At 44.9% G+C, this 25,850-nt stretch overlaps 1 protein-coding gene across 4 annotated transcripts in view, besides 5 other annotated features; it reads left to right on the forward strand.

Annotated features, from left to right (window-relative positions):
• TBL1X (transducin beta like 1 X-linked) overlaps positions 1–25,850 on the forward strand; it is a 256,446-nt gene that overhangs the window by 67,198 nt on the left and 163,398 nt on the right. Inside the window, exon 3 of one of the 4 annotated variants that reach the window (NM_001139468.1) lies at positions 4,408–4,542. The exons of the other annotated variants lie outside the window; for them this stretch is intronic. The gene's annotated coding sequence lies outside the window, so the exon portion shown is untranslated. The remainder of the gene's footprint in view (positions 1–4,407; positions 4,543–25,850) is intronic. 4 annotated transcript variants of the gene reach the window in all.
• Positions 317–611: a silencer, noted in NCBI's record as "tiled region #11092; HepG2 Repressive DNase matched - State 9:DNaseU, and K562 Repressive DNase unmatched - State 8:EnhW". NCBI's record gives its function as "represses a minimal TATA promoter and a strong SV40 promoter by Sharpr-MPRA in HepG2 and K562 cells {active_cell/tissue: HepG2 | K562}" and the evidence as "EXISTENCE:reporter gene assay evidence [ECO:0000049][PMID:27701403]".
• Positions 317–894: a biological region, named in NCBI's record as "Sharpr-MPRA regulatory region 11092".
• Positions 323–894: an enhancer, noted in NCBI's record as "NANOG-H3K27ac hESC enhancer chrX:9498855-9499426 (GRCh37/hg19 assembly coordinates)". NCBI's record gives its function as "activates a minimal SCP1, AML or CMV promoter by ChIP-STARR-seq in naive H9 embryonic stem cells {active_cell/tissue: H9 hESC(naive)}" and the evidence as "EXISTENCE:reporter gene assay evidence [ECO:0000049][PMID:30033119]".
• Positions 438–507: a silencer, noted in NCBI's record as "silent region_20653". NCBI's record gives its function as "represses an Ori minimal core promoter by ATAC-STARR-seq in GM12878 lymphoblastoid cells {active_cell/tissue: GM12878}" and the evidence as "EXISTENCE:reporter gene assay evidence [ECO:0000049][PMID:35858748]".
• Positions 2,036–2,605: an enhancer, noted in NCBI's record as "H3K27ac-H3K4me1 hESC enhancer chrX:9500568-9501137 (GRCh37/hg19 assembly coordinates)". NCBI's record gives its function as "activates a minimal SCP1, AML or CMV promoter by ChIP-STARR-seq in naive H9 embryonic stem cells {active_cell/tissue: H9 hESC(naive)}" and the evidence as "EXISTENCE:reporter gene assay evidence [ECO:0000049][PMID:30033119]".

Here is a 25,850-nt window from a genome sequence, read left to right on the forward strand (position 1 = left end):
CACTTACTTTTTAATGAACAGACCACATCACACATTTTTATGTTCTCAAATTATCTGTGGCTTTAAAGCTGTAAAAAAAGGTGCTCTTTTAAAAAAGCCCTGCATGTTTCCTTTTTCCTCTCTACTTCCGCTAAAATATTTACATGTTTCTTTTAAAATAAGGTGAGAAAATCCCCTTGACTTCTCAATTTTAAGAAACTATACTTATCTTTTCATCACAAATGTTCATTTATCTGTGTTGAAGTCAACCCAAGAAATCTTAAAATATAACGGAAAGAAAATGTTTCTGGATTTTTTCCCGAGAATACATATACTTTTAAATGGCACGTTTTACCCATTGACTTTAATTCCTCCCTCCCTCCATTACATTTTTAGATGTGTTCAATGAAACGTAGTCCTCCCCCTTTAAAAAAATGGACCGAGCATCACGTGTGAGGCTGCAAAGAGGCTCCCTGCCAAAGCATCTTATCTGCCGCTGGTAAAGCCCCGCCCCTCCGTCAGCAGCTAACCCTTGAGCGGGATGTGTGCTTGTGCCGGGTGCATTGCATTAAGAGAATGCAACTGAATAGAGAAGGATCAGGACCTTTTGTGCAGAGGTGGGGAGTGTTAAAAAGGGGGAGGCCTGGGTGGGAGGGTGGAGTTAGTGGGAGATGGGTATGCTTAGTGCTTAAATTCCCTGCATTCCCTAACACGAATTTAAGAAACTCACACAGTAAATGAGTCAGGGAGAGGGAGAGACAGGGAGAGAGGGAGGGGAGAGGGAGAGTTCCTTTCATTCATGACAGGATGAACTTTGCATGCTTCAGAACAATTTACATTTTTCCTTATTTCTAGGTACTTTTTTGAACTAAGAACCTGGAGGGTGTGTGTGTGTGTGTGTGTGTGTGTGTGTGTGTGTGTGTGTGTGTGTTGGTGTGTGTTGGTGGTGGGGTTTTTTTGCCTTATATTTCATAAATATTTCTTGGTTGATTAAATGTCAATAATCGCTCATTTCTGGTTTGTAAAGCTGTTACCTGATCCTTGAATACCACGAATATTTTGTACATTCTAAATAATTGAGAGAAAATAACAACGACAACAAAAAGACACAAATAAAAAGCATCTCCGCTTATTTAAGAAGAGTAGATCTGTGCGGGGCGCTGTGGCTCATGTCTGTAATACCAGCACTTTGGGAGGCCGAGGCGGGAGGATCCCTTGAGTCCAGGAGTTCGAGACCAGCCTGGGCAACATAATGAGAGGCTCTTTTTTTTTTCTTTTTGAGACACGGTCTCATTCTGTCGCCCAGACTGGAGTACAGTGGCACTATCTCAGCTCACCGCAACCTCCACCTCCTGGGTTCAAGTGATTCTCCTGCCTCAGTCCCCCTAGTAGCTGGGATTATGGGCGCGCACCACTACCACCCGGCTAATTTTTGTATTTTTAGTAGAGGTGGGGTTTCGCCATGTTGGCCAGGCTGGTCTCGAATTCCTGACCTTAAATGATCCACACCCTCCTTGGCCTCCCAAAGTGCTGGGATTACAGGTGTGAGCCACCACACTGGGGCGCAAGAGCACGTCTTTTAAAATCAGTGCTGTCTGTGGGGTGGGAGGGGAGGAGAAGTAGATCTGGCCATGCTGAAAGGTTCGTGCAGTGGCCTCCTGAGCTGCGCACATGCTTCTGGAGCTTTGGGTGGACATTTAGTCTGCATGTGGATCTCTGTCCAAGCCTGCACTGGGAGCCCCTGCCCCAGGAAGCGAAGGCTGCATTTCTTTTATGTCAATTAACAGATTTCTGCCCCACCCTGGACATCTGAGCGTTAACTGATTTGTAAGGGAGGGGTGAGGGAGGGTAAAATTACAATTCTATATCTTAACATTGGGGGTGAAGCATTTTTACCCTAGAGGAATTCTATCCAAACACATTAAACACTCTTAATAAGGGACAAAGGGTTGGGACGTAGCGGTTAGGGGGCAAGCCCATGAGCCTCACTCCTTGTGCTCTCTCTCCAGGAATTGGAGAGGGAATCCTTTTGCTTAGCATTCCCACGCCTCCCACGGGCCTGGCACTGGGCCCGCGGGCTTGCCTTAGTCTCCTGGGCTGCCCTAACGCAGCACCACGTGCCGGGCGGCTGTAACAGCAGCCCGTAATTCTCCCACAGTCCTGGAGGTTCTAAGTCCCAGATCGAGGGGTCAGCAGGGTTGGTTCCTCCCTAGGCCTCTCTCCTGGGCTTGTAGATACTGTCTTCTCCCTGGGTCCTAACAAGGTCATCCCTCTGTGTGTGTCTGTGTCCCCTCATCTCTAGTCCTGTTGGATTAGGGCCCGTCCTAATGACCTCATTTTACCTTAGTTACCTCTTGAATGGCCCTAACTCCAAATGAACAGTCACATTCTGAGGTCCTGGGGCTTAAGGCTTCAGCATATGAGTTGGGAGTAGGGATGTAATATGCCTAATGTCCAGAACAGGAAAATCCATAGAGGCAGAAAGTGGGTTCCTGCTTGCCAGGGCTGGGGACGGGCAGTGTGGGGTGACTGCTAGCCAGCACAGGGTTTCTTCTGGAAGTGATGAAAGTGTTCTGGAATTAGACAGCGGTTGCAAAATTCTGAATGTATTAAAAACCACTGAATTGTACATTTTGAAAGAGTGAATTTCATGGTATGTGAATTATATCTCAGTAAAGTTGTTATAAACAAAAACTGTGAGGGTAAGAGGTAAAAGGAAGGGAGTTGAAAGCAGCATCAGGTGTGAACAGCCCATAATTCAGCCCATAGACGAGCGCGAACTCCTAGCACAGCTGTCTGTTGAAGATGTGCGTGAATGCTTGCTTTCCGCACCCTTCGGCCTGCTTTTCTCTACTCTCCAATTTCATCATACATTCTCTTCCTTCCTCCCCCTCCCCACTTTTTCAAAACGTTTCTTCTAGTCCTTACTTGTGGCTACACAAAATTCCATAAACATAATGCTGCAGTTCAAAGAAGTGTTCTGATGGTAGGGAGATAACTTAGGAAAATATTTTACCTTTGGGGAAGTTTTGGTTTCCTTCTGAGTGAAAACCCTCCATGAAAGAGAAACTTAAATGCAGTTTTCAAATGCTCCTGAGACATTCCCAGCCTTTTCTTTGTGGAGAAGTGAAGGCAGGACAATTTCCAAGGCAAAGAGGGACCTATCGCAGACAGCAGACCCCAAGTAAAGAAAGGCACAGTGATGGTGGGTATTCGTGCAGTGTTTTGAAAATGTGGAGGTCAGGGATGCTAGCTTACCAGGCCAGCATGATCAAGTTACGAGAAATGGAGACCAGGACACTACCTCTGCTGGGTGTGCTGCTCCGGGCTCCTTCGAAAGGGGAAGCAGCTGGTGGACTTCCTTGGGCTGTGGTTAAATGGGGCTCCCATAGGTGCCATGAAGGCTCTGCAGAGCCAGGGATGCTTGCACCCTGGAGAGACCTTGCTCCAGGAGCTCAGGAGCTGGTAGGGGTGGTGACAGTGAAGCACCGGCTTGCCGTGCCCAGTGCTTGGGCAGTGCTGAGCTCCGAGGGAGGAACCCAGAACCATGCGGGAGCAAGGGAGGGAGGCAGGCGAGGAGAAGGGTTGCCCAGGAGCCTGCAGGTCGGGTCGGTGTTGTATCAAATTGTCTTTTCCTGCTTTGCTGTCTGATCCCACTAAAGACTAGCCAGAGAGATGTGGAGGTGAAAAATGGTGGACAGCCATTTTTCTCCCTTTCACTGTGTCTACAATGTCTGTTTCATATCAACAGCAACATCTGTGCAGGCATCCTAATGAGTATAAATAATGTCTTCAGAAAACTGGGTTTGTGAGGCTCCTGTCATCTGAATTTCTTTCATCATTTAAGTGATGATTTTTTACTCATTGACATACAGTTGTTATTTAGTGGCCACGTATTATTCGTATAGGGTTCTTTATGTGCTTTCTGTGTACATTTGTTTTCGTGCTCATCGTATTTCAGTGTGGCTTATATATAATAAGATGCACCTGTTCTTAGCTATTGTGGACTTTTTTTTAAAAAAAGGTTTATAGAGATATGATTCACATACCAAACACCCATTTAAGTGCCTAATTCAACAGTTCTTAATACCCTAATTTAAAAAAAAAATACAGTGTTGAGTATTTTCCTTTTCTCGTTTTTCACTAAAGTAGACTCAGGATTGGGGTTATCTGTCAGTCCCTTGGTTTGATTCTTGGCTGCCAGTGTTTACTGGGGACGGATGTTGGTACCTCCCTTAATAGGATATTGTTACAGCATTTTACAAATTCTGGTTAAAAAAAGTCCCACATGAGATCTCCCCTCTTCCCCCCTCTCTGAGTGTAGGCATTGTCAGCTGCAGTTGTCCAGCATCTCCAGGACTCTTTTCATTTGCGGGATGGAAACAATGTACCCTCTGAACAACTCCTCCCTGTTTCTCCTCCCTCCAGCTCCTGGCAACCACTATTCCACTCCCTGCTTCTTTGAATTTCACAACTTGAGGTAGCTTGTGTAAGTGGAATTATTTTAAAAGCTGGTTCATGTTAAAGTGCTTAGAACAGAGCTTGGTGAGCATCCGGTCAACAGTAAGTACTTTTATTATTCTTTTTATATTACTCTTTTTTTTTAAAGAGGCCAGACACATGGGCTTCTGTCTTTTCACAGCTTGGGATCTGTGCAGACCCAGGCTTCCAGAAGCCATCCCACTTGAATTCTTACTCCCTTTTCCCCTAAAAAGAAGCTCTGAAATCCTAATTGTCAAGAAGGCTTTGCCTGCTGTGCATGCCTGAGTAATGTTATTTTTGTCATTATTTGAGAGACAGAGAGGAAGCTTCCAGTCCCCTGTAAGGAAACGAAATCATCGTGCACAGATGTGGTTCTGTTTATAGAGGGAAGGAAATGGAGGTGAAGAGTGTGTGTGGCTTGCAGCCAGGCTTGCGAGTGTGCAGAGGAATAAACTTTTTTGCCTCCAGAGTTTTAACTGGAAATGTGTCTGAATTCTACCTCCTGGGCACACTGGCCTGAGGTCTCCCCTGCATACCTGATCGTGAAAGTCTTCGGGTGTGTTTGTAAACACGCAGCCCCCCTGATGTGAGAGTCAGCACAAACTTCTAAAGATGCGATGATGAATTCTATCAGAGAAGTCTTTCTGGTTTTGTGAAAATAACCTTGCACTCTTTAATTATATCCAAATGATCAAATCTGGCTCTGATGTCTTGTCAAAATTAATGTTAAAGGACAGTGCCCTTTATATTTTACTTGTCTGGGTATAAACATCCTAGTCTTTAAAGTTGAGTCTGTAGGACTACCTCTCTACTTGATTACTCTGAAAAGAGTGTATAGAGTGAGTTTTTAAAATGGAATTAGTGTGCATACGAGGAACAGAGTGACATTTAACAAATCCTTCAATAGATAGTGCTGGTATGAGGATTGGTGAAACTAGAGGTAGGGAATGAGCATTTTTGGTTCTGTATCATATTCCCAAGACATTTTCAAATGATTCACCCTTTGCCATCAGAATGGTTTGAAATCGATCAGCCTGAATCCACTAATGTGGGCTGCGGCACATGAATTTTAACACTAGAAGCACACGGTTGTGCTGTGTTTCAAATGAACTCTGGCCATTTGAAGTGAGCAGGCATAGGCAGTCTTCTGTCCTGTGATAACCTCAGTACATATCCTTTCTGTTTTTTAAAGTACCTTACAAGCTGCTGCATTACAGTCGTTATTATTGGGCCATTACAAAAAGCTGTCCAATTTTAAGTGTCTTGGATAATTCTTGTTTGCCCCAGCATCAGAATTGAGCATTTTTTTTTTTTTTTAGATGGAGTCTTGCTCTGTCACCAGGCTGGAATGCAGTGGCGTGATCTCGGCTCACTGCAACCTCCACCTCCCGGGTTCAAGCGATTCTTCTGCGTCAGCCTCCGGAGTAGCTGGGACTACAGGCATGCACCACGATGCCCAGCTAATTTTTGTATTTTTTAGTAGAGATGAGGTTTCACCATGTGGGCCAGCATGGTCTCGATCTCTTGACCTTGTGATCTGCCTGCCTTGGCCTCCGAAAGTGCTGGGATTACAGGAGTGAGCCATTGTGCCTGGCCAAAATTGAGCACTTTTATCATGTAGTATTCATGTCTTACTGGCAATGCCCTGTAAAGTTAAATAAGTTACATTTGTCTTGCACAGGTAATAATTATGAGGTAATTTCCACAGAATCCAAGGGCCTCATTGACTTTGCTATAAAATCAAAACAGTGAATTCTGATAAGACTAGACGCATGTTACTCTTAAATTGGGCTGTCTCCTGGCCACTGTTGTGCCTTTAACCTCAGCAGAAGGGGAGCTGGGCTGCAGAGTGAAATTACCCGGAGGTCAAATATTGCTAATTTGACTTTTATCATAGAGACATTTTCTCCTCTCGCACCAAGGCAGTGGCTTTAATCCCTCTTTCAGTGGTGAGACAGGTGCAAAGCGTTTACAAAAGGCTTTCTCTTGTTTTGAATGCGCCAAGAAAGATTTCCAGGCCGTTAAGTTACCAATCCTTCTTTTTAAGTCTTGAAGCAATTACTGTAAGGTCAATCCACTAATTTCCTTTCAGAGTTACCAAAGACCTCTCATGTAATCATTTGGTACTTGTTGCCATGTAGCCAGTATCACTGAGTGCTTTTACTGTGAGCAAAGCACAATGCATCGGGCAGGGAGGGATCCAAAGGGATCTTGGTTTTTACCTTTGAGCCATCTGTGGTCTTGAGTGATCTACGTGCATTAGCAATTAAAAGGTCCTGATATTCTTGTTTGGGCATATTGAAAAATGTGCTCTTACAGATAGGTTTCCTCTCTCTACTGCCCCCCGCCCCCCAATTTTTTTTATTGTGGTAAAATACATAAAACAGAATTTACCATCATAACCATTTCTAAGTACACTGTTCAACAGCATTAAATATTCATTACATTGTGCAATCCTCACCACGATCCATCTGCAGAACTTTTTCATCATACCAAACAGAAAACTGCCCCATTAAACACAAACTCCCTATTCTTCCCTCCCCACAGCCCCAGCAACCAACGTTCTACTTTCTCTCTCTATGATTTTGACACTCTAGGGACCTTTTATATGTGGGATCATATGGTATTTGTCCTTTTGCGTCTGGCTTAGCACAAGTTTCATCCATGTCATAGCATGCGTCAGAATTTCCTTCCTTTTTAAGGCTGTATAATATTCCAGTGTATGGATGGACTACACTCTGTTTATCCACTCATCTGTCAGAGGACACATGGGTGGCTTTCACCTTTTGGCTGTTGTGGATAATGCTGCTATGAGCATTGGCATATGTTTACTTCTCATTGATTTAAGTTTACATAGTCATGTGTGGCTAGTGGCTGCTGTATTAGACAGGACAACCCTAGGCCTGATAGCCCTGAGGACCTAGTTTGGGTGGGAAGACAGGGGTGACCTGCAGCGAGTTGTCGGCTGGGGGCCTTGGTGAGAGCCAGATCTGGGTTGTGAGGCCACTCGAGGCAGGGGGAATGGTGTGGCGGGAAGTGAGGCCCAAAATGAGAATTTCAGAGTTGAAAGCTTTGGAAGTAACATGATGCTCTATGACTGTGACCAGACTCAACTGCACCAATGTGCATCTGAGATCAGGTCATTGGCGTTGAAATCGTGAAATGCTCACTGCTTGGGACGTTTGCACTGTGCTTGATGTCTGGAGGTTCCGTTAATGTTAAAATAGCAATTATGGGACTGGAGATTAGGTTTAATGTCTGGGTTTTTTCCACTGTCTTCAAAAGCCCGGGTCTTAGTAGTAACCATGCTGCTCCCCATTTTAGTAATTTCAGCCTGGTTTATGTTGCTCAATAGCAGAAAAGCGGTTCAGATTTCCTTTGGATATCATGGACCATATGTTTGCCCAGGTATCCTTTCTTATTGGGAACTATCAAATAGTTAACACAGATTTCTCCAAGGGCACCGACTGGGAAATTAGTTTACCAAAGATAAATTTGGTAAAAGGAAAGTTTTTATGTGCGCTATCCTTAAACTAAGACACATCTGTCGAAATATTAGGACGTGCCCAGTCTCCCATCCTCTGCTGAAACTTTAGACTGTACGTCCTTCAGATATCTTCTCTTTGGTGCTTTGTTTGGGAACAGATTAGCCTCATACTTCCTCGCTTGTAAAACTGCTATCCCATCTCTTGCTCAATGCTTTTCTTGTACCGAAGGGTGAGGGGGAGGTTCCAGCTCTGTTTTCTGTATCAGTTTCCTGGGTGATGTTTGTTTGAGGGTGCCTTGTGTCCAGAGCCCCAGAAGGTGTTTCCGTTCTCTGATGAGCCTGAAGTCTGCATGCTTCGCCTTTGGTAGGGAAAGGCAGCTGGGGAAAGGTTGCATGGCCCAGTGCCAGGGTGCCAGAGTGCGTGTGCACCTGCTGGGGAGAAGCCCGCTGGGGCCCCTCCTCTCAGCACAAGATGAGGCCTCAGGGCAGTGCAGCAGATGGAGGGCTTAGCTGTCCTTGCCAGCAAAAGCTGCTGGGAACGTGGCACTCAGATAACAGGACGGTTGAGAAGCGGTGAGTTAGGGTTACTCTGATGGGGAGATACTGAGAGGAGGGGATGACAATCTTGATTTCTGTTCCCTTTGTGAATCTTTTGGTGGCCAAAATGAGGAAAAGGATACATTGTGTTTGAGGACAACAAGGAACATCTAGGCACATTGCATACTTGATTAAATGCACAAAGAGCTTCTTGTGACCTTTATCACAAGAGTGTGGTTCTATGAAGGTCGTAGGTACAATAGAAATTGTGTTGGTCTGAGAGTTACTCAGATTAGGGTGCATTGTGTCACCACCATTTTGCATAGCTGTGGCACCTTGTCAAGTTAACCTTTTCCTGCTTGCTTTTCCTAATCAGAAGAATGAAGTTGACCGTATGTACTCTATAAGGTGGTTGTGTGAGGTCAATGAGATTACATAGGCAAAATCTTGGTGCAGGGGCACTTGGTAAAGGTTAGTTTCTGTTATAAATTTGGGGTATTCTGTGATGATTCCTACTCCCCTCTTCTCCTCATGGCTAAGTTCTACTTATTCTTTGACGTGGCTCCGATATCACTTTCCTCAGGAAGCCCGGTTTCCCACCCAGATGGCTTTGGGCTACTCATCAGTGTTCTGTAAAATGCTGAGAATATTGTTTATAGCACTTCTGGGTTGTTTTGTGATAGTCTTTTGAGATATCTGTCTCCTCACCAAACTGTTCTTTGTGTCATGGGCAGGCCCACGTCATCCTCGTCTTTGTAGTCCTGCACCTGGCACAGAGCCTGGCACATAGCTCAGTCAAACAGGTGAAGACTGGGTTATTACATCTTCCCACTCCACCCCCTTCATTATCAAGTCGTGGTCAGGGCATGCCCCACCAAATGCAAACCCTACTAGGCAGTACAGCTGAGACTTGGAACTAGACTAACCCAGTGACTCAGAAATGTGCCACAGGACTTATTTGGCTCTAGATGGGGTCTTAAAAGACATTCATAGTTGCAGGCAGAACAGAATATCCAGAACAGGTGCAGAATAACCTGTGTGTACACAGTAGGTGGTAGTTATAATGCAGGAAGAATTTGGCACAAGAAGTGTTACAGTTTAAAATGAAGTCATGGGCCCTATCCACACTGGGGACAGAGATAATAGTAACTAATCATCATCACTGTCATCACTAGCCCATTGTCAGAGGTAGCACTGAACACTTATGCGTTAGCCAGGATTTGGGTTCTAGAGGGTTTAGTGTACTAGTTGGGTTACCAAGACAAAGATGCAGGCATGGGGTGCAAGTTAACAAAGGTTATACACTAGGTGGCAACTGACTCACAGGAGCCTGGTTATTGCAGCGGTTGTGGCCAGAGCCATACAAGTGTTCTGATGCCCCTCAACTGTGTTGAAATTTGTTTGAGGCCAACCAAGTCAGCTGGCGAGGGGGAAGGCAAGCCAGAGAGAAATTGTGAACCAGAAAGGCCCCACCTCTGGCAGTGGCTCTTCCATTGGAGATGAAGTCTTCTTGCCCTGTTTTTCTCTTTAAAAAAGTGAGCCATTTCACAAGGGAAGTTAAATTAAAAACTGTGCTTGTTAGCGCGGAGCTGGGACAACCGAGGGAAGTGATGCCAAAGGCAATTGTTGGTCTTTCCTTCAAATATGTGCTGACTTAGGAAGAGCAAAATGTTTTATATTAACAATTAACAAAAGACTAAGTCTTTCATCACAAACAAGTCTAAATTCAGTGGTTAGGTCAGTATTATATTTTCCTATAGTTTTAAATAAGATGCTTATGTATTCACTAGTGCTTTGGATGTTCTTTGGAAAAATCTCCAATTTAGTGACAAGCCCCAGGAAATATTACTCTTAGTTGGTCCAGCATCCTATATTGTTTGTGAAATCCCTCTTTTATTGTCTTTTAAAGGTTGTAAAATGCTTTTTCTGTCAATAATCAGAGAAGGATGCCGCATTCATATTACCCCAGTTTCCAACTCAACCTCTCCTTTCCAATTGAAAACAAAAGTCAGAATTCACTTTTTGTTGTGGGGCATTAAGTAGTAAGCAAAGAGATTTCACTCGCCAGGGAAAAGAAGGAGCCTGCAAATCAGACAATATCAAAACATAACCAAACCATATAAAAACACAAAAATGTTGCTTGGCAGAATTTAACTATAATTAATTGTACTAATTTAATATTGTAGACACAAATGATCATAAAGCCATATGGTACAATCCTTTTGTTCATGAATTTCTTATTCATCAAATGTTAGGTACGTGATGTGGGAAAGCCAGTATGTTGGGCTTCGTGCTACCAGGGCTAGAGTTGACCAGTTCAGCTTTGTTTCTCCAGTGACCAAAAAAAAAAAAAGGTATCTGCCTTGCACATGAAAACACTGGATGGTTAGATTGGATTTAGCCAACAACAAACTGCAAAAATCGGTTCTGGCTAACTGAAGCTCACAGGGTTTATTAGAGTTGTTGGAGCCCATGGGAACTGATGGAGGGCAAGGAGGCTTGTCGTGCAGGAGCAGCAGGAACCAAGGAAGCTTTGCAGAGATGAGAAACAAAAAACAGGGAACACAGCAACATTTGCTGTGTCAGGAACGACTGCCACTGGTGGCCTGGACACCATCACAGCCGCAGAAGATACTTAAGACACATTTCTGTTCTAGTGTTGGTAGTTCAAGATTCAAAGTATGTGTGAAAGTGAGTGTGTGTGCATAGGCAGAGTAGCTAATTGGTTGAGTTGGGGTCCATGTGCCCACCTCCAGGTTGGACCAGGGGACAAGCCATGCAGCGTTTTGGTCACCCCTCACTTGGCAGTATTCCCACCAGGAATGACCCTCGCTAGGATTTGAGGGGCCTGGAGTCACTACTTACTAATTTTCTTAAAGTTGACAACGATCACAAACTTCATGGTCTGGGAAAATGTGAATTAATTGCCTGATCCACCTTCATATCTTTTTTCTTTTCTTTTTTCTTTTTTTTTTTTTTTAACAAAAATCTGTATATTCATAGATTGTCTCTTCCTCTGCTAGTGGTTTTGCAGTAGCATTTTCAGGTGAGGAAACAACAACAGAGTTTAGGGTCCAGCTCTGTCATTGCCATTGTTGTAGCGATTTACAAGTTGTTACTGCTAGTATGAACTTTTGCCTAGTTAAATTTTGGAAACTTGCCTGTAATTGCATTTGATGGATGATAAAAATTGATAAATGACTTGATAAGTGATAAAAATTCTACGGAAGAATTTTCCATGGACTGGCTTCTGGCTTTGATCCTTTCCAACTGTGCTTCTCCTACCCTCAGGCCGCCCCTATCATGCTGTGCTTGTCTGGCCCCACTCACCCTGTCCTGACACTGGATGATTTATTTCCAAATGAATTGCTCCTGGAAGCCATTCCAACACCATTACAACCGGCGGCAACACAGCTGTCTTGGATACTCCTGGACCATATAGATAGATGTAACCACAGCATTCCGGTAGCTCCCACTTCCCCAGCATTTTCTTTTAGAATGGGGGCATCAGAGTTGAAGGAGGTAACTGTGGGTAGTGTGTCTTGTCTTTGGAAATTTTCATCATGACCTGAGCTTGTGAACACTCTGCCTTGGCCCCGCCTCGCACTTTGGAAGAGACTGGAGCAGGAGCGGGCAGCGTTGCCTTCGCAGCATGGTAACTTCTCTCAGCGCTGTTTGTAAAGCAGAATGGGAGAGGAAACTCCCCAGAGGGAAACTGGGACCCTGTTAGGTAGGGCTAGCAAGAGGTGGTTAAAACGTAAGCATCCGCTGCACCAGACTGTATTCTCCACGACTGTATATTTTTTGTTGTTCATAAGAGCCCCGAATTGCAATGAGTACGATTTTCCCTGGACGCTGCAGTGTATGGAGAAGCTGTCACTTGTCACATGACAGCTCAGTCATTCGATCCCTGGGTGCTGCAGAGAGGGAAGAATTGGCCTCGCAGTGGGGAGTGAGTGCCAGCCCGTGGCCTGTCCCCTGCCACGTGTCACCATACTGAACGTTTGTGTGTGCTCTGTGTGTTTTCAAAACACCTTCATGTCACCTGCCCCGGACTCCTCCCTGTGAGCAAGGCAGGGTGGGCGTTACCATCCCTCTGGACCAACAAGGACAGAACAGCTTGAGACGCACAGGGTGGCTTCCCCATGGCTGCGGAGGCATAGAAAGTGAGGGCACGGGACGTGAATCCGTGTGCTGGGATTCTGGCCGCCTGTGCCTGCCGATCACCCTCAGTGCCTCCCTGGATTTGATTTTGTGGCTCTTCTGGGTGTGCGTGTGAGTGTGTTGTGGGTAAGTCTGTTGTCTAGGGGAAGGAACGGGAAATCATCCGGCCAGGAATCTCTGTGGGGTGGTCGGCTTGAGTTGGCCATATCCAAGCTCTGCGTGTGTCTCACTTTTCAGAGTAGCAGGAAGGCCGGGTGACTTTGAAATCAGATGGGTATTTTCCTGATTCGAAGAGACTTGGCTTCTTCCCCCGCCCCTCCTTCTCCCTCCTCCCCCCTCCTCCCTCTTGCTGGCTCACAAACTCAATGGGGCATCCCAGCCCACCCATGGGAGGCCAGGAGAAAGAGGAGGCAGAGCTGTCAGAGTGTGGCCCTTCGTCTTGGGGGTGTGCAAGTGACCGCTCCTGCCCCTTGATGGCTCTCCTGTTTCGGGTATAAGGGATGTTGTCCAAACCATGTGTGGGACTCTCTGTTGACAGTTGTTTTTAAATTGCCTGTTTAATTGAGCTTCTCTAAAGTCTTCTTTGTGCCAAGTATCGGGACAGGTGATAGAAATAGAAAATTCGACACAAATCGAAAATTCCAGTATCAAAAATGACAGCGATGTACCCTTGCCCCTTAACGCAGCCAAGAAACAGGGGTGAAGGGCTACTCTCCACATATGGAGCAGGCCACCACCCTTGAGTGACAGTAGCCGAACACAGAACATTCTCTGCAGATGTCACTGAGGCTTAAACTCATTATGTTTTAAAGGGATAATCTGCTATTCTTAAGAAAACAAAAAACAATCACAAATCTCCCTGCCCTCCCCACCCCTGCCCCCACTTAGATCCTGGTAGGGTCTGGCAGGGGGAGTTTTGCAAGGAGTTGGGGCAAATTACTCCAGCAGATACTTCCACCCCGTATCCCAAGAAATGTGTGTAAATGCTGTTATGAATTAATTTAAAGGTATTCCAAACTCCTACTAATTATTATGTGTTTGCTCAAGTCAAGATCAGGAGAAGTACAGGCATTGCTATCCCATGGGGCCTGTGAAACTCTGGTGAGGTGTCCTAGTGGAAGAGCTTGGGGCCCCATGGTGTCTGGAAAGCGGGCTCCACTGGAGATTCTGGCTGTTTTCAGCTTGATGCACACGGGGTCCCCTGGAGAATGCCAGGCCTGCCTGAGTGTGCAGAGGTGAGGGATCCTCACACTGCCCAGCATGTACGTGGCTGGGAGACTCCAGAGAGACATGCAAAAGTGCTGTTAACTAGACGGCGTGGTACAAATGCAAAGTGAGTGGGTTTTTTTTTTTCCTTAAACGACAGTGAACATTCATTTCAATATTTATTTTGCTTATTTTAATATTTTACTCAATGTTTATTTATTTTTATGTTTTTGAGACAGAGTTTCACTCTTGTTGCCCAGGCTGAAGTGCAATGGTGCGATCTCTGCTCACTGCAACCTACGCCTCCCGAGTTCAAGCGATTCTCCTGCCTCTGCCTCCCGAGTAGCTGGGATTATAGGCATGCACCACCACGCCCAGCTAATTTTTTTGTAATTTTTTGTACAGACAGGGTTTCTCCGTGTTGGTCAGGCTGGTCTTGAACCCTTGACCTCAGGTGATCCACCTGCCTTGACCTCCCAAAGTGCTGGAATTACAGGCGTGAGCCACTGCACCCAGCCTCAATATTTATTTCAATACAGAAACGGACTTAATTGGGTATTTTGTTGAAGGCAAATAGTAGCAAAGTGGGACTGGTGTGAGGCAGTGGAATAACTTAGTGAAATCCAAGGTTTATGTAGTTATTTTCCCCCCACTTTTTTTTTTTTTTTTTTTTTTTTGAAATGGAGTCTCACTCTCTTGCCCAGGCTGCAATGCAGTGGCATGAGATCAGCTCACTGCAACCTCTGCCTCCTGGGTTCAAGCAATTCTCCTGCCTCAGCCTCCTGAGTAGCTGGGATTACAGGTACCCGCCACCACGCCCAGCTAATTTTTGTATTTTTAGTAGAGATGGGGTTTCGCCATGCTGGCCAGGCTGGTCCCCCCATTTTTATGGTTTGAAAATTTTCAAACCCTGGCTGGGTGTGGTGGCTCATGCCTATAATCCCAGCACTTTGCGGGGCTGAGGCAGAAGGATCATTTGAAGCCAGGAGTTCGAGACCAGTCTGGACAAATAGCAAAATCCCATCTCTGCAAAAAATAAAAAAATGAAAAATTAGCCAGGTGTGGTGGTGCACATCTGTAGTCCTACTGCTTGAGAGGCTGAGGTGGGAGGATTGCTTGAGCCCAGGAGTTCAAGGCTTGTGAGCCTTGATTGCGCCACTGCACTCCATCCTGGGTGACAAAGCAAAACTCCATCTCAAGAAAAAAAAAAAAATTCAAACCCTCAGAAAAGCTTAAAGAATAGATTCATGGATCGTTAAACATTTTTACCAAATGTATGTTTTCTCTCATTACTCTAAGGTTGCTCCCTTTCCCCCCTCACTCTCCTCTTCTCCTTCCCTTCACTCCATGGATGTGTAGGACATTCTCCTACAAAACCATAGTACTTACATTCTTGAGGTTGTCACACCTCATAATTAAACATATGATGGTTTTATTAAGTATGCTGTCACATGTAAATTTCTCCAGTTGTTTGATCCAAGTTGTACTCATGGATAGTGTATTGTATTTTACGTCTCTTTAGTCTTCTGTATTGTAGAGGAGTCCCCCAACCTTCTTCTATGACATAGGAGTTTGGGGATTTGTCTGTTTCCCGATGTGATTAGAGTGATGTTGAACAGTTTTGGCAGGAACGCTGCACAGCTGATGATTATATTTCCCATTGCATCCCCTCAGGAACTCAGAATCTCCTTCTCCATCCTTGGTGAAGGTGTATTCACCAGATGGCTCCCTGTTGAAGCTCCCTTCTCTCTGTTACCAATGAGTAATCTGTGCTATGATACAGTGAGATGGTGTGATTATTCTGTTCCTCACAGTGGTTTTCCTTTGGTGGTTTTAGCATCCACTGATTACCATAAATTAATTAGTCCAGCTTTGGCAAACTATGGCTTGCCGTGGTGACTCACGCCTGTAATACCAACACTTTGGGAGGCCGAGGCGGGCGGATCACAAGGTCAGGAGATCGAGACCCATCCTGGCTAACACAGTGAAACCCCATTTCTACTAAAAGTACAAAAAATTAGCTGGGCGTGGTGGCGGGCGCCTGTAGTCCCAGCTACTGGGGAGGCTAAGGCAGGACAGTAGCCTGAACCCGGGAGGCGGAGCTTGCAGGGAGTCGAGATTGCACCACTGCACTCCAGCCTGGGTGACAGAGCAAGACTCCGTCTCAGAAAAAACAAACAAACAAAAAAACCCCCAAAAAACTCCACCAAGTCTGTTTACTTATGTGTTGTCTGTTAACAGTTGCTTTTGCACTACAACAGCAGAATTGAGTTGGGACAGAGACCAGATAGCCAAAAATATTTTCTATTTAGCTGAATCTTGATCTAGTACATTTTTGGTCAAAAAATGATGCATTTCTAATTCTTCTATTCATTTTTCATTTAGTAGTTGGCATTCTTAAAGAAGAGCTTTCTGTTTTGACCTTTAAAAATCACTATGGATTCATTTATTCTTAATTTTTTTTTTTTTTTTTTTTTTTTTTTTTTTTTGAGACGGAGTCTCGCTCTGTCGCCCAGGCTGGAGTGCAGTGGCGCGATCTCGGCTCACTGCAAGCTCCGCCTCCTGGGTTCACACCATTCTCCTGCCTCAGCCTCCCGAGTAGCTGGGACTACAGGCGCCCGCTACCACGCCCGGCTAATTTTTTGTATTTTTAGTAGAGACGGGGTTTCACCGTGTTAGCCAGGATGGTCTCGATCTCCTGACCTCGTGATCCGCCCGCCTCGGCCTCCCAAAGTGCTGGGATTACAGGCGTGGGCCACCGCGCCCGGCCTTATTCTTAATTTTTAAAAGTGTGTTATACGTTGTTGTCATTACATTATTCTTTTAGATACACAATGTTGCCCTAAATTTGCCCAGTGGGAACCCCTCCAGGCTGGGCACTGTGTTCTTCTGTCACGCCCCCTTCAGGATGGGGCCTGGGTTCTTTTGTTATGCTCCTCTAAGGCCCTTTAATCTATGTCGTTTCATTTTTTTGTTGTTGTTTTTATTTTGAGACAGGGTCTCACTCTATCACCTAGGCTGGAGTGCAATGGCGCGATCTCGACTCACTGCAACCTCCACCTCCTGGGTTCAAGCCATTCTCCTGCCTCAGCCTCCCAAGTAGCTGGGACTACAGATGTGTGCTACCACGCCCAGCTAATTTTTGTATTTTTGGTAGAGACAGGGTTTCACCATGTTGGCCAGGCTGGTCTCAAACTCTTGACCTCAAGTTCTCCACCCGCCTTGGCCTCCCAAAGTGCTGGGATTACTAGCATGAACCACTGCGCCTAGCCTCGTATCTGTGTCCTTTCTTTCTGGGACCGGAAGAGGTTTCAGGTTCCCAGTGGAAATTCCCTGCCCCTCACCTTGAATCAGCCTTTGGCCAAAGAGCCTTGGAGAATGATATTTAATATTTAAAAACCAGGAACTGAGAACTGAGTGTGCTCATTGCTATGGGGATATCATTGCTCCTGGGCTCCTTGGGTGCAGAGACCCAGGGAAATAGATGTTTCTGTGTATGCTTTCACACTGTCCCTCCCTCTCAAGCCCAACTCCACAGGATGCTTCCTCACCTTCCTCTTGCCATCTAGTATCACGCTTCTGTAGTGAGAATCTGCTGCCTACAGCAACAACATATTGACACATCCATTCTCTTCTATAGGACACAAAAAAAGGTTTCAGAAATTTTTACGTTGGTGCTGCCACCACCACCGCTACCAAAGCAATGAAATAAAGTTCAAGATTCCTTGAGATTCTCTTGTCGTTAGGATGTATCTCACTGTGGGTGTACAGACAATATACAAAAGTTACTTAATTTTTCTCCGATGTTTATAGTACCAATTTGATAATGTAAGTTAAATTATTCATCTTTATTGAATTTTAAGATATGCATATTTTATCCTCTTTGAGTTAAGTATTTTTCAAATATAGAAAACGTTTACGTGGTCCAAAGTCAAAACTCTGTTAATAGGTTTGCTCAGAGTTCTCAGCTCCCATCCTTATCCCACCACCCCATTTTTACTCACCTCTTCAGTTCATTGCCATTACTTTTTGCCTTATCTTTTTTGTGTGTTTCTTTTTGCATCTACTTAGTGCTTTTAAGCCCCCCATTTAAAGGCCTAATGCTAAGTCTTACATGTAAACCAGCAAAAATGTCACCTTTTTAAGTAGACTTTTGTGACCAAAACCTTATTATCAAAGCGTGAAAGTTGAGACCGTCTAGGGAGTTTTCATCATGGTGGTTAGACAGTGTGTGGAATTGAAATGTACAGCGTTTGTACATGCAGGTCCGTTATTGAGAGAACTGATCCAAAACCGTGACGACTGCCAATAAAATGTACTTTACCAAATATCTGCTCAAAATGCCCATGTCTCCTTAATGTCAATACCCAACACATGGGTACATCCAGTTTTAGTCTCAAATGTTTTAAGATTTATTAAGCTTGGTTTGCAGGAGTTTAGTGTTCTTGGAATTAGAAGGATTTCTCTAGTGATGTGGTGAGAAGAGATAAACCTGGGACCTTTTGTGTTTTCTTGATACGCACATTTATGTTGTGTGCAACACAGGAATTGTCAGGAACCTGCAATGCAATCTTTCTTGATTTATAATCTTGCAAAATGTGGAATAAAAAGTAAAGTGCAAAGTTTAAGTGGTAAGTGTTACAATTCATGTGAACAATATGATGCTTTTTCTCATGCTTACTTGAAGACAGCAGCTGGCCCTTGAGTTCAGTCTCAGTGCAAACAGCCTCCAAAGAAAGTGCATTGCACTAAGGAAGCCCTTTTCATCTCACAAAGGGCAAAGTCTGGATTGCCCCCCTTTCTCTGTTGTCTTTGCCTGTTGCTCCCTGGACCCCAGCCAGTCTCCCCAGGCCTGGAGCTGGGTCAGCTAGGTCTGTGGCCAGGAGGTGGGGGTCCACGTCCACTGTGCTCCTCAGCGGCAGGTTCTGCAAACTGCAGCCCGTGGGGCAGACTCCACCTCCAGCCTGAGTGAGGCCATCCAGCTAAGAATGGCTTTGACATTTTTAAATGGCCAGGGTGAAAAAACTAAAAGAGGATTTTGTCATGACACATGAAAATGATATAAAATGAAAGTGTCAACTGTCATACATTTTGATTTTTGTCAGTTTCAGAGAAATTTATTTTCTCTTTTTATTAAATGTCACTACATAATATACTTGATTTTGCCTTTCTGCTCACTGAAGCTAAAATATTTACTCTCTGGCCCTTTCCGGAAAGAGTCCGCCGACCCCCTCTCTGTGGAATGAGAGCTTCCAAAAAGATGCAGAAGACCGTGCATCCCAAGCGGTTGTAAAAGCCACTTACTTTCGTAGGTTTAATGACTCAAAAGAAAGGGCGCTTGTTCCCTCCCTTCCTTCCTGGGCAGGCCCCTTTTTGGAATGGAGTTTCGTTATACAGAAAGTTGTTCTCGCTGTACAGAATTCTGCGATGCCTTCACTTGATGGCTGTTTCTTCGGGGATAGGAGGGCTGGGGGTCAGGATCTGATCTCACACGAATGGTTCAGAGTCTGGACTTAGTAGCTCAGAGCAGTTCACTGATTTGGGATCTCTGGAAGAAAAGGGTACTGAGTCACTGGCACCTTCTGCTCAGCTCCTGACAGCAGTGTAAAGGATGCTTTCGTGACACCCAGCCTTCAGCCCAGGAGGATGGTGGCAGATCAGACAGCTCTGGAAATGCAGGGCACAATGCGCAGAGGGTTGCACCACAACAGCAGTCACTCGGTGCCCGCCTGGAGCACTGCTCTCATTTCCAGAGTCCCTGTATTTCTGATCTTGGCTGCTTTAAAAAGGAGGTGTGGGCCTGGGATCCCAGAAGTATTCCTCTGTGATTCTGTACCACAGCTTTACCTTAATTGGGGGTGTAGGGGGTGGGGAGAAAGAGGAAGACAGATGAAAGCAGGGAAATCCTTCTTGGAGTCATAGTTAAAAGGATAAAATAAGAGCTTTAGTGTAGCCTCCGTTTCCAGCAATCCATTTTATTCTTTGTCCACAAACTGAATGAAAATAAGCAGTCATTCAAAAATGATATTTACGTAACCTACAAAAATCTCAATCAACCAAGGAAAAGGTGGAATGGGGCTTAATACAATACAGGGCTGTCTCCGGAGTTCCCTCCCTTGATTTCAGGCTTTTGGTGTAAAGCTCCCGAAAGAAAGCAACTTTGATTTTTATTAGACTCTTCAAAATCATCTCGGTAGAATATTGACCTTTTTTGTGTGTGGAAAAATGACTTCTACGAATTCTCTTGTAGGAGTGTACATTTTGGTCATTTTTTGGAATGTAGGAAAAAAAATGTGGGGTACCCTTTATTGCATTTTCAAGACCTTCCAAAGAAGATAATTCTGATTGTAACTCATTATAATCTGGGAAAGTAGATTGTTCTGGTTTCAAGGACTGCGTGTGCTTTAAATAATCACAGGCTGCTCTCAGACTTGGGAACTTTTGGTAGAATACAGCAGTGATTCTCAACCAGGGCAGTTGTGTTCCTTGGGGGACATTTGGCAGCGTCTGGAGACATTTTTGGTTGTCACGTTTTGGGGAAATGGGTGGTGCTCCTGGCATCTAATGGGTAGAGGCCCAGGATGCTGCCAAACATCCTACAGTGTGCAGGACAGCCCCCCCCCAACCAAGAATGATTTAGCCCCAGATGTTCATAGCGCCAGAGGTGGAGGAACTGCCTCGGGGGATGTGTAGGAGCTTTACTTTATGGGTTTTTTAATGGAAAATATATGTATAGACACGTACATATATATACGTGTACATACACATGTAGATGACTCTGCTCAGCGCACCCATGAAGTATGCAGTGCACCTGTCCCCTGGGATCTGGTTATACGATGGGTGTCCAGCCTGTGCCCAGGGGATCAGTTTCCTTTGTGCTGCTGCAGTACCTTGTCAGCATGGAGAGGGGGAGGTCAGTTATGAGGAGGCCCTTTTGGGGTAGAGTGGAGGAATGGTGCCGCCTGGTCAAGGCCTCGCATGGGGTAGTGTTCTTTGTACAGTTCTAGGTGAGGCGGCGAACACGTTCTCATGCATTCTTCATGGTGGTGGTGATGCTGATGTTAAGACCAACGGGCCTCTGTTGTTCTGCTCAAGGTTCCAAGTAGAGTAGGTTTTCTATTTTCAAAATGTAGTTCACGGTGTCCCAATTTTTAGTGCAGCGTATTTCAACAAAATGTCCTTTTACACATATAAATGGCTTATGTTGCAAGGTCCCCCTCAGCTTCCTGGTGTGGAATCAGTGATGGATAAAGGCAGAGAGGCTCTCAGGCTGACATATACTCCCTATGAAGAGGGGGGAAGAACTGTGTTGGCCCATGGGTGTTTGGGGAAACACTTGTATTCCAAGGTATTTGTGGAGAAGATATGGGATGTTTTTCCATGTTGGGCTTCGGATATGAAGTTTAAGGAAGGAGAATGGAGTCCTGGTGCACACCTCTCATAAGCACACGCACGCTGGCCACTCTGCTGGCTCCAGAGTCATCCAGAGCATCGAGCATAGTTTCTCCCCCGGAGACCCTCCAATCTGATCAGATAGGGAGGCTGTGAGTCTGGTGACCCCCACTGCAGGGGGCAGAGCTAGTGCAGGTGGTGCTGAGCTGACTGGGAGAAGAAGGGCCTGCAGGACCGGCTGCAAAGCCCTTAGGGGAGGGAGGAAGTGAGGAATTTGGTTTCCTAAACGGGTGGTCCAAGAGAGGCCGGGTTCATCGCTGTGCAGTGAGGTGGCACTGGAAGGAGGGAGTCCTCAGATGGGCCACCCTTTGGGGCTATAAGTCTCGTGGTTTGTTTCTCTTGGCTTCAAGATAACATATCTAGTTTGGGTGTTTTGGGATGATGAGGTTGGGGTGTTTGGGAATTGAGGTGGCCGCGTAGGCATTGAGGAAGATACTGGTGTTTTGTGCGGTCAAAGGGCAATGGTGTGGAACTCAGATCCCAGCTCTGACCCTGTGTGGTCTTGGGGGATCATCCACCATCAGTCTATTTCTCTGTGACTTGGGGATAACAGTACATGTGAGCGTGAAATAAGAGTATAAATTGCATCAATGTCTGTGTGTCAAGGTTGCCTGAGGAGGAGTTGGCTGGGCTTGCACTGACGCTTGATTCTTTGTATCACTCCGACTTAAACCACGACACTTCCAAGGCAGAGTCTAAAGCCTGTCCTCTCACAATCTTCTACAGGTGAGTAGGAGGCCATAGACCTTGTGAGTACAGAGTCCTAAAAGAAGGCAGAAATGTGTGAATCTGCCAAAAGTAAAGAAAGGGTGTTACTACTGGTCAAAGTCGTTGCAAGAATGCTGGCTTTTACAACTCCTGTTTCTGCTGCTATCACCTGCTGCCTGTGTCTTGTTTCCTGGGCTCCAGATCATTTTCACATTTCTCAAAATGGTCCTTGGTAGCTGTGGTAGATGGAATAATGGCCCTCAAGGTGTATCTCCATCCTAATCCTGGAACCTGTGAATAGGTCATTCTACATAGCAAAGTGGACTTTGTGGACGTGGTTTAAGGATCTCAAGGCCTGGTGCCAGGGGCTCATGCCTGTAATCCCAGCACTTGAGGAGGCTGAGGTGGAAGGGTTATTTGAGCCCAGGAGTTCAAGGCCAGCCTGGGCAACAGAGAGAGACCCTGTCTCTAGAAAAAAACTAAAAATTAGCTGGGCATGGTGGCACGTGCCTGTAGTCCCAGCTACTCAGGATGCTGAGGTGGGAGGATTACTGAAGTCCAGGAGGTTTAGGCTGTAGTGAGCCATGTTGGCGCCACTGCACTCCAGCCTGGGCAACAGAGCAAGACACTGTCCCAGAAAAAAAAACAAAAACAAAAGGATATCGAGATGAGGTTGGGGAGGTTGTCTGGGTGGGCCCAGAGCAATCACAGAGGTGCTTCTGAGTGGAATAGGGAAGCTGGGGGAACAGAATCCCAGAGGAGATAGGAGGATGGGCGCAGAGGCCCCAGTGATGTGGGCCCATGAGCCAAGGGATGCTGGCGGCCTCTAGAAGCTGGACAAGGCAAGGAATCGAATTCTCCCCTGAAGCCTTTAAAAAAGGACACAGCCCTGTGACCCATTTTAGACATTGCACATCGAGAACCTAAGAGAGTGTGTCTGTGTTGCTTATGGTAGCCGAGCTGGAGATTCTTTGTGACAGCAGCAACAGGAAACGCAGACAGTGGGTGAGCACCAGATGGTAGAGTCAAGTTTAATATGCTGGAGCAAGGAGGGTCAGCTAATCACTGGCAAAAGATCAGGGCCTGGGACTTTTGCTAACTGTTTCTATGGATTCCTCCTTCCTCTTGCAATGAGAAGCGACAGCCTCGTGGTGAAATTTGTTAGCTGTTTATTATTTTCATTGATCTGATTCTACTAGTGTGATTTATGCTAAGCATAAATGACCAAAGTTGACTGTGGTTTTTTGAAGAACATTGGAAAATAAACGTACAAAATTATGTTTTTATAATAATGGTTCAGTCCAAAATAAAGGAATATATTCATAGAAATTAGCTAAAATTATAGAGGGTAAGTTACATACATCTTCTTCTTAAAGATGCTGGTACCAACACTGGAAGAAGCTGTACAAGTGGGCAGGTTGTTTTTTGTTTTTGAGACTAGGTGTCACTGTCACCTCAACCTCCCCAAGCTCAGGCGATCCTCCCACCTCAGCCTCCTGAGTAGCCGTGACTACAGGTGTGCACCTCCACATCTGGCTAATTTTTGTATTTTTTGTAGAGATGGACTTTCACCATGTTGTCCAGACTGGTCTTAAATTCCTGGGTTCAAGTGATCCAGATGCCTTGGCCTCCCAAAGTGCTGGGATTAGGGGCATGAGCTACGGTGCCCAGTCTCAATTTTTAAAAATATATTTTACCATCACTTTCCAAGCTTTTTGTCCTATGTGACAACAGAAAATTGAATTTCTTAATCCACTTACATTGAATTTAAAATCCACTTAGGAAAGTGAGCTTCAGGTATTAGAATTATTAACTCCGAATAAGCAGATACTCTAGCATATTTTATCTTCCAGATTGTGTTGTGATTGTAACAAGACACATTTTATGCATTTTAGTTTTCATCACAAACTGGCTGAAAATCATGTTATGTACAAATATGACTTGATTCAATACAATTTATTGTTTGGGTATAATTTGAATTAGAAAGCCATTTGTATACCTTTTGCTCACTTACATTATGCTATTATGCTTTTGACATCAGAGGAAATACACTTACTTAAAATCCTCGCAGATCCCAGAGCAAATGAAGAGTTTTTGTTCTTTTAAAAATTGGAAGTAGTCTAGTTTTCTGGTTGTACAGTAACAATGTGATATATATTGTCTTTATCATATATACACACATACATAAATCATCTTTCCTTCAAAGATCTCAGATCACTTTTTTAAAAAACAGCTTTACTGAGATATAATTTACATACCATAAAATTCCCCTATTGTAAATGTACAGGTTCAGTGAATTTTAGTAAATTTACAGAGTTGTACAGACATCGAGACAGCACAATTTTAGAACATTGTCATCACTCCAGGAAGCGTCCCTGTAACCATTAGCAGTCACGTCCTCCCCAGCCCCTGGCGGCCACTGATCTATTTTATGTCTCTGGATTTGCATATTCTGGACATTAGATATAAATCCAATCATATAACCTGTGGTCTTTTATGTCTGGCCTCGTTCATTTAGTTTTCAAGGTTCATCCATGTCATAGCATGGATTGATCCTTCACTTTTTATTTTATTTTGTGTTTTTTAGAAACAGGGTCTTGCTCTGTTGCCCGGGCTGGAATGTAGTGGTAGGATCATAGCTCGGTGCAGCCTCAAACGTCTGGGCTCAATCAGTCCTCCCACCTCAGCCTCCCAAATAGCTGGGACTACAGGCAGACAACACCACGCCTGGCTAATTTGTTTTTAGTTTTGTAGAGAGAGTGTCTTGTTATGTTGCCTAGGCTGGTCTTTTGAATTCCTGGGCTCAAGCGATCCTCCTGTTTCAGCCTCCCAAAGCCTTGGGATTACAAGTTTAAACCACCACACCTGGCCTGTTTTTTATTGTTAGATAATATTCCATTGTTATAAATATCCCACATTTTTAGATTGATTCATCAGTTTATGGACATTTGGTTGCTCCCATGTTTTTTGCTGTTATAAATAAAGCTGCTGTGAGCCCTCGTGTACAGGTGTTTACATGCACATATGCTTTTATTCCTCTGGGGTAGATTTCTAGGAGTGGAGTTGCTGAGTCATATGGCAATGCTATGTTTAACTTTTTGAGGAACTGCCAAGCTGCTTTCTATAGTGGCTGCAGCATTTCACATTCCCACCCAAATGTATGAGGGTTCCAGTTTCTCTATATCCTCGCCAACACTTGTTATTCTCTCTCAGAGAACTTTCTGAATCTCTCTTATAATGCCTAGGGGGTTCCTTGTTGAAGATGAAATTAGGGACTACCATGAACTGCTTTAGGAAACCTGGGAGAAAGGAGTCAGGCCCCTTTTTCATATCTATGCAGTGTAACCGGCCTCTCAGAAAGATTGGTTGGAGTGGATGGGAGAATAAAGAAATGAATGGGTTGGGTGCAGTAGCTTACACTTGGAATCCCAGCACTTTGGGAGGCTGAGGTGGGAGGATCACTTGATCCCAGGAGTTTGAGATCAGCCTGGGCAACATGGCAAAACCTCATCTCCACAAAAAAATACAAAAATTAGCTGGGCATGGTGGCACACACCTGTGGTCCCAGCTACTTGGGAGGCTGAGGTGGGAGGATTATTTGAGCCCAGGAGTTAGAGGCTGCAGTGAGCTATGATTGTGCCACTGTATTCCAGCCTAGGTGCCAGTGAGACTGTGTCTAAACAAAAAAAAAACAAAACAAAACAAAAAAAACAGTACAAAGTGTTCAGTGCCGTCAGATGTTCTGAATATAGTATGATGAGAATGCAGTGGTGGGGGAGAAGGTGGATTAGTTTCTGTGGCTGCTGTAACAAACTACCACAAACCTAGATGCTTA

Source organism: Homo sapiens, chromosome X (genome assembly GCF_000001405.40).
Source record: "Homo sapiens chromosome X, GRCh38.p14 Primary Assembly".
In the NCBI taxonomy this organism is placed as follows: Eukaryota; Metazoa; Chordata; class Mammalia; order Primates; family Hominidae; genus Homo; species Homo sapiens.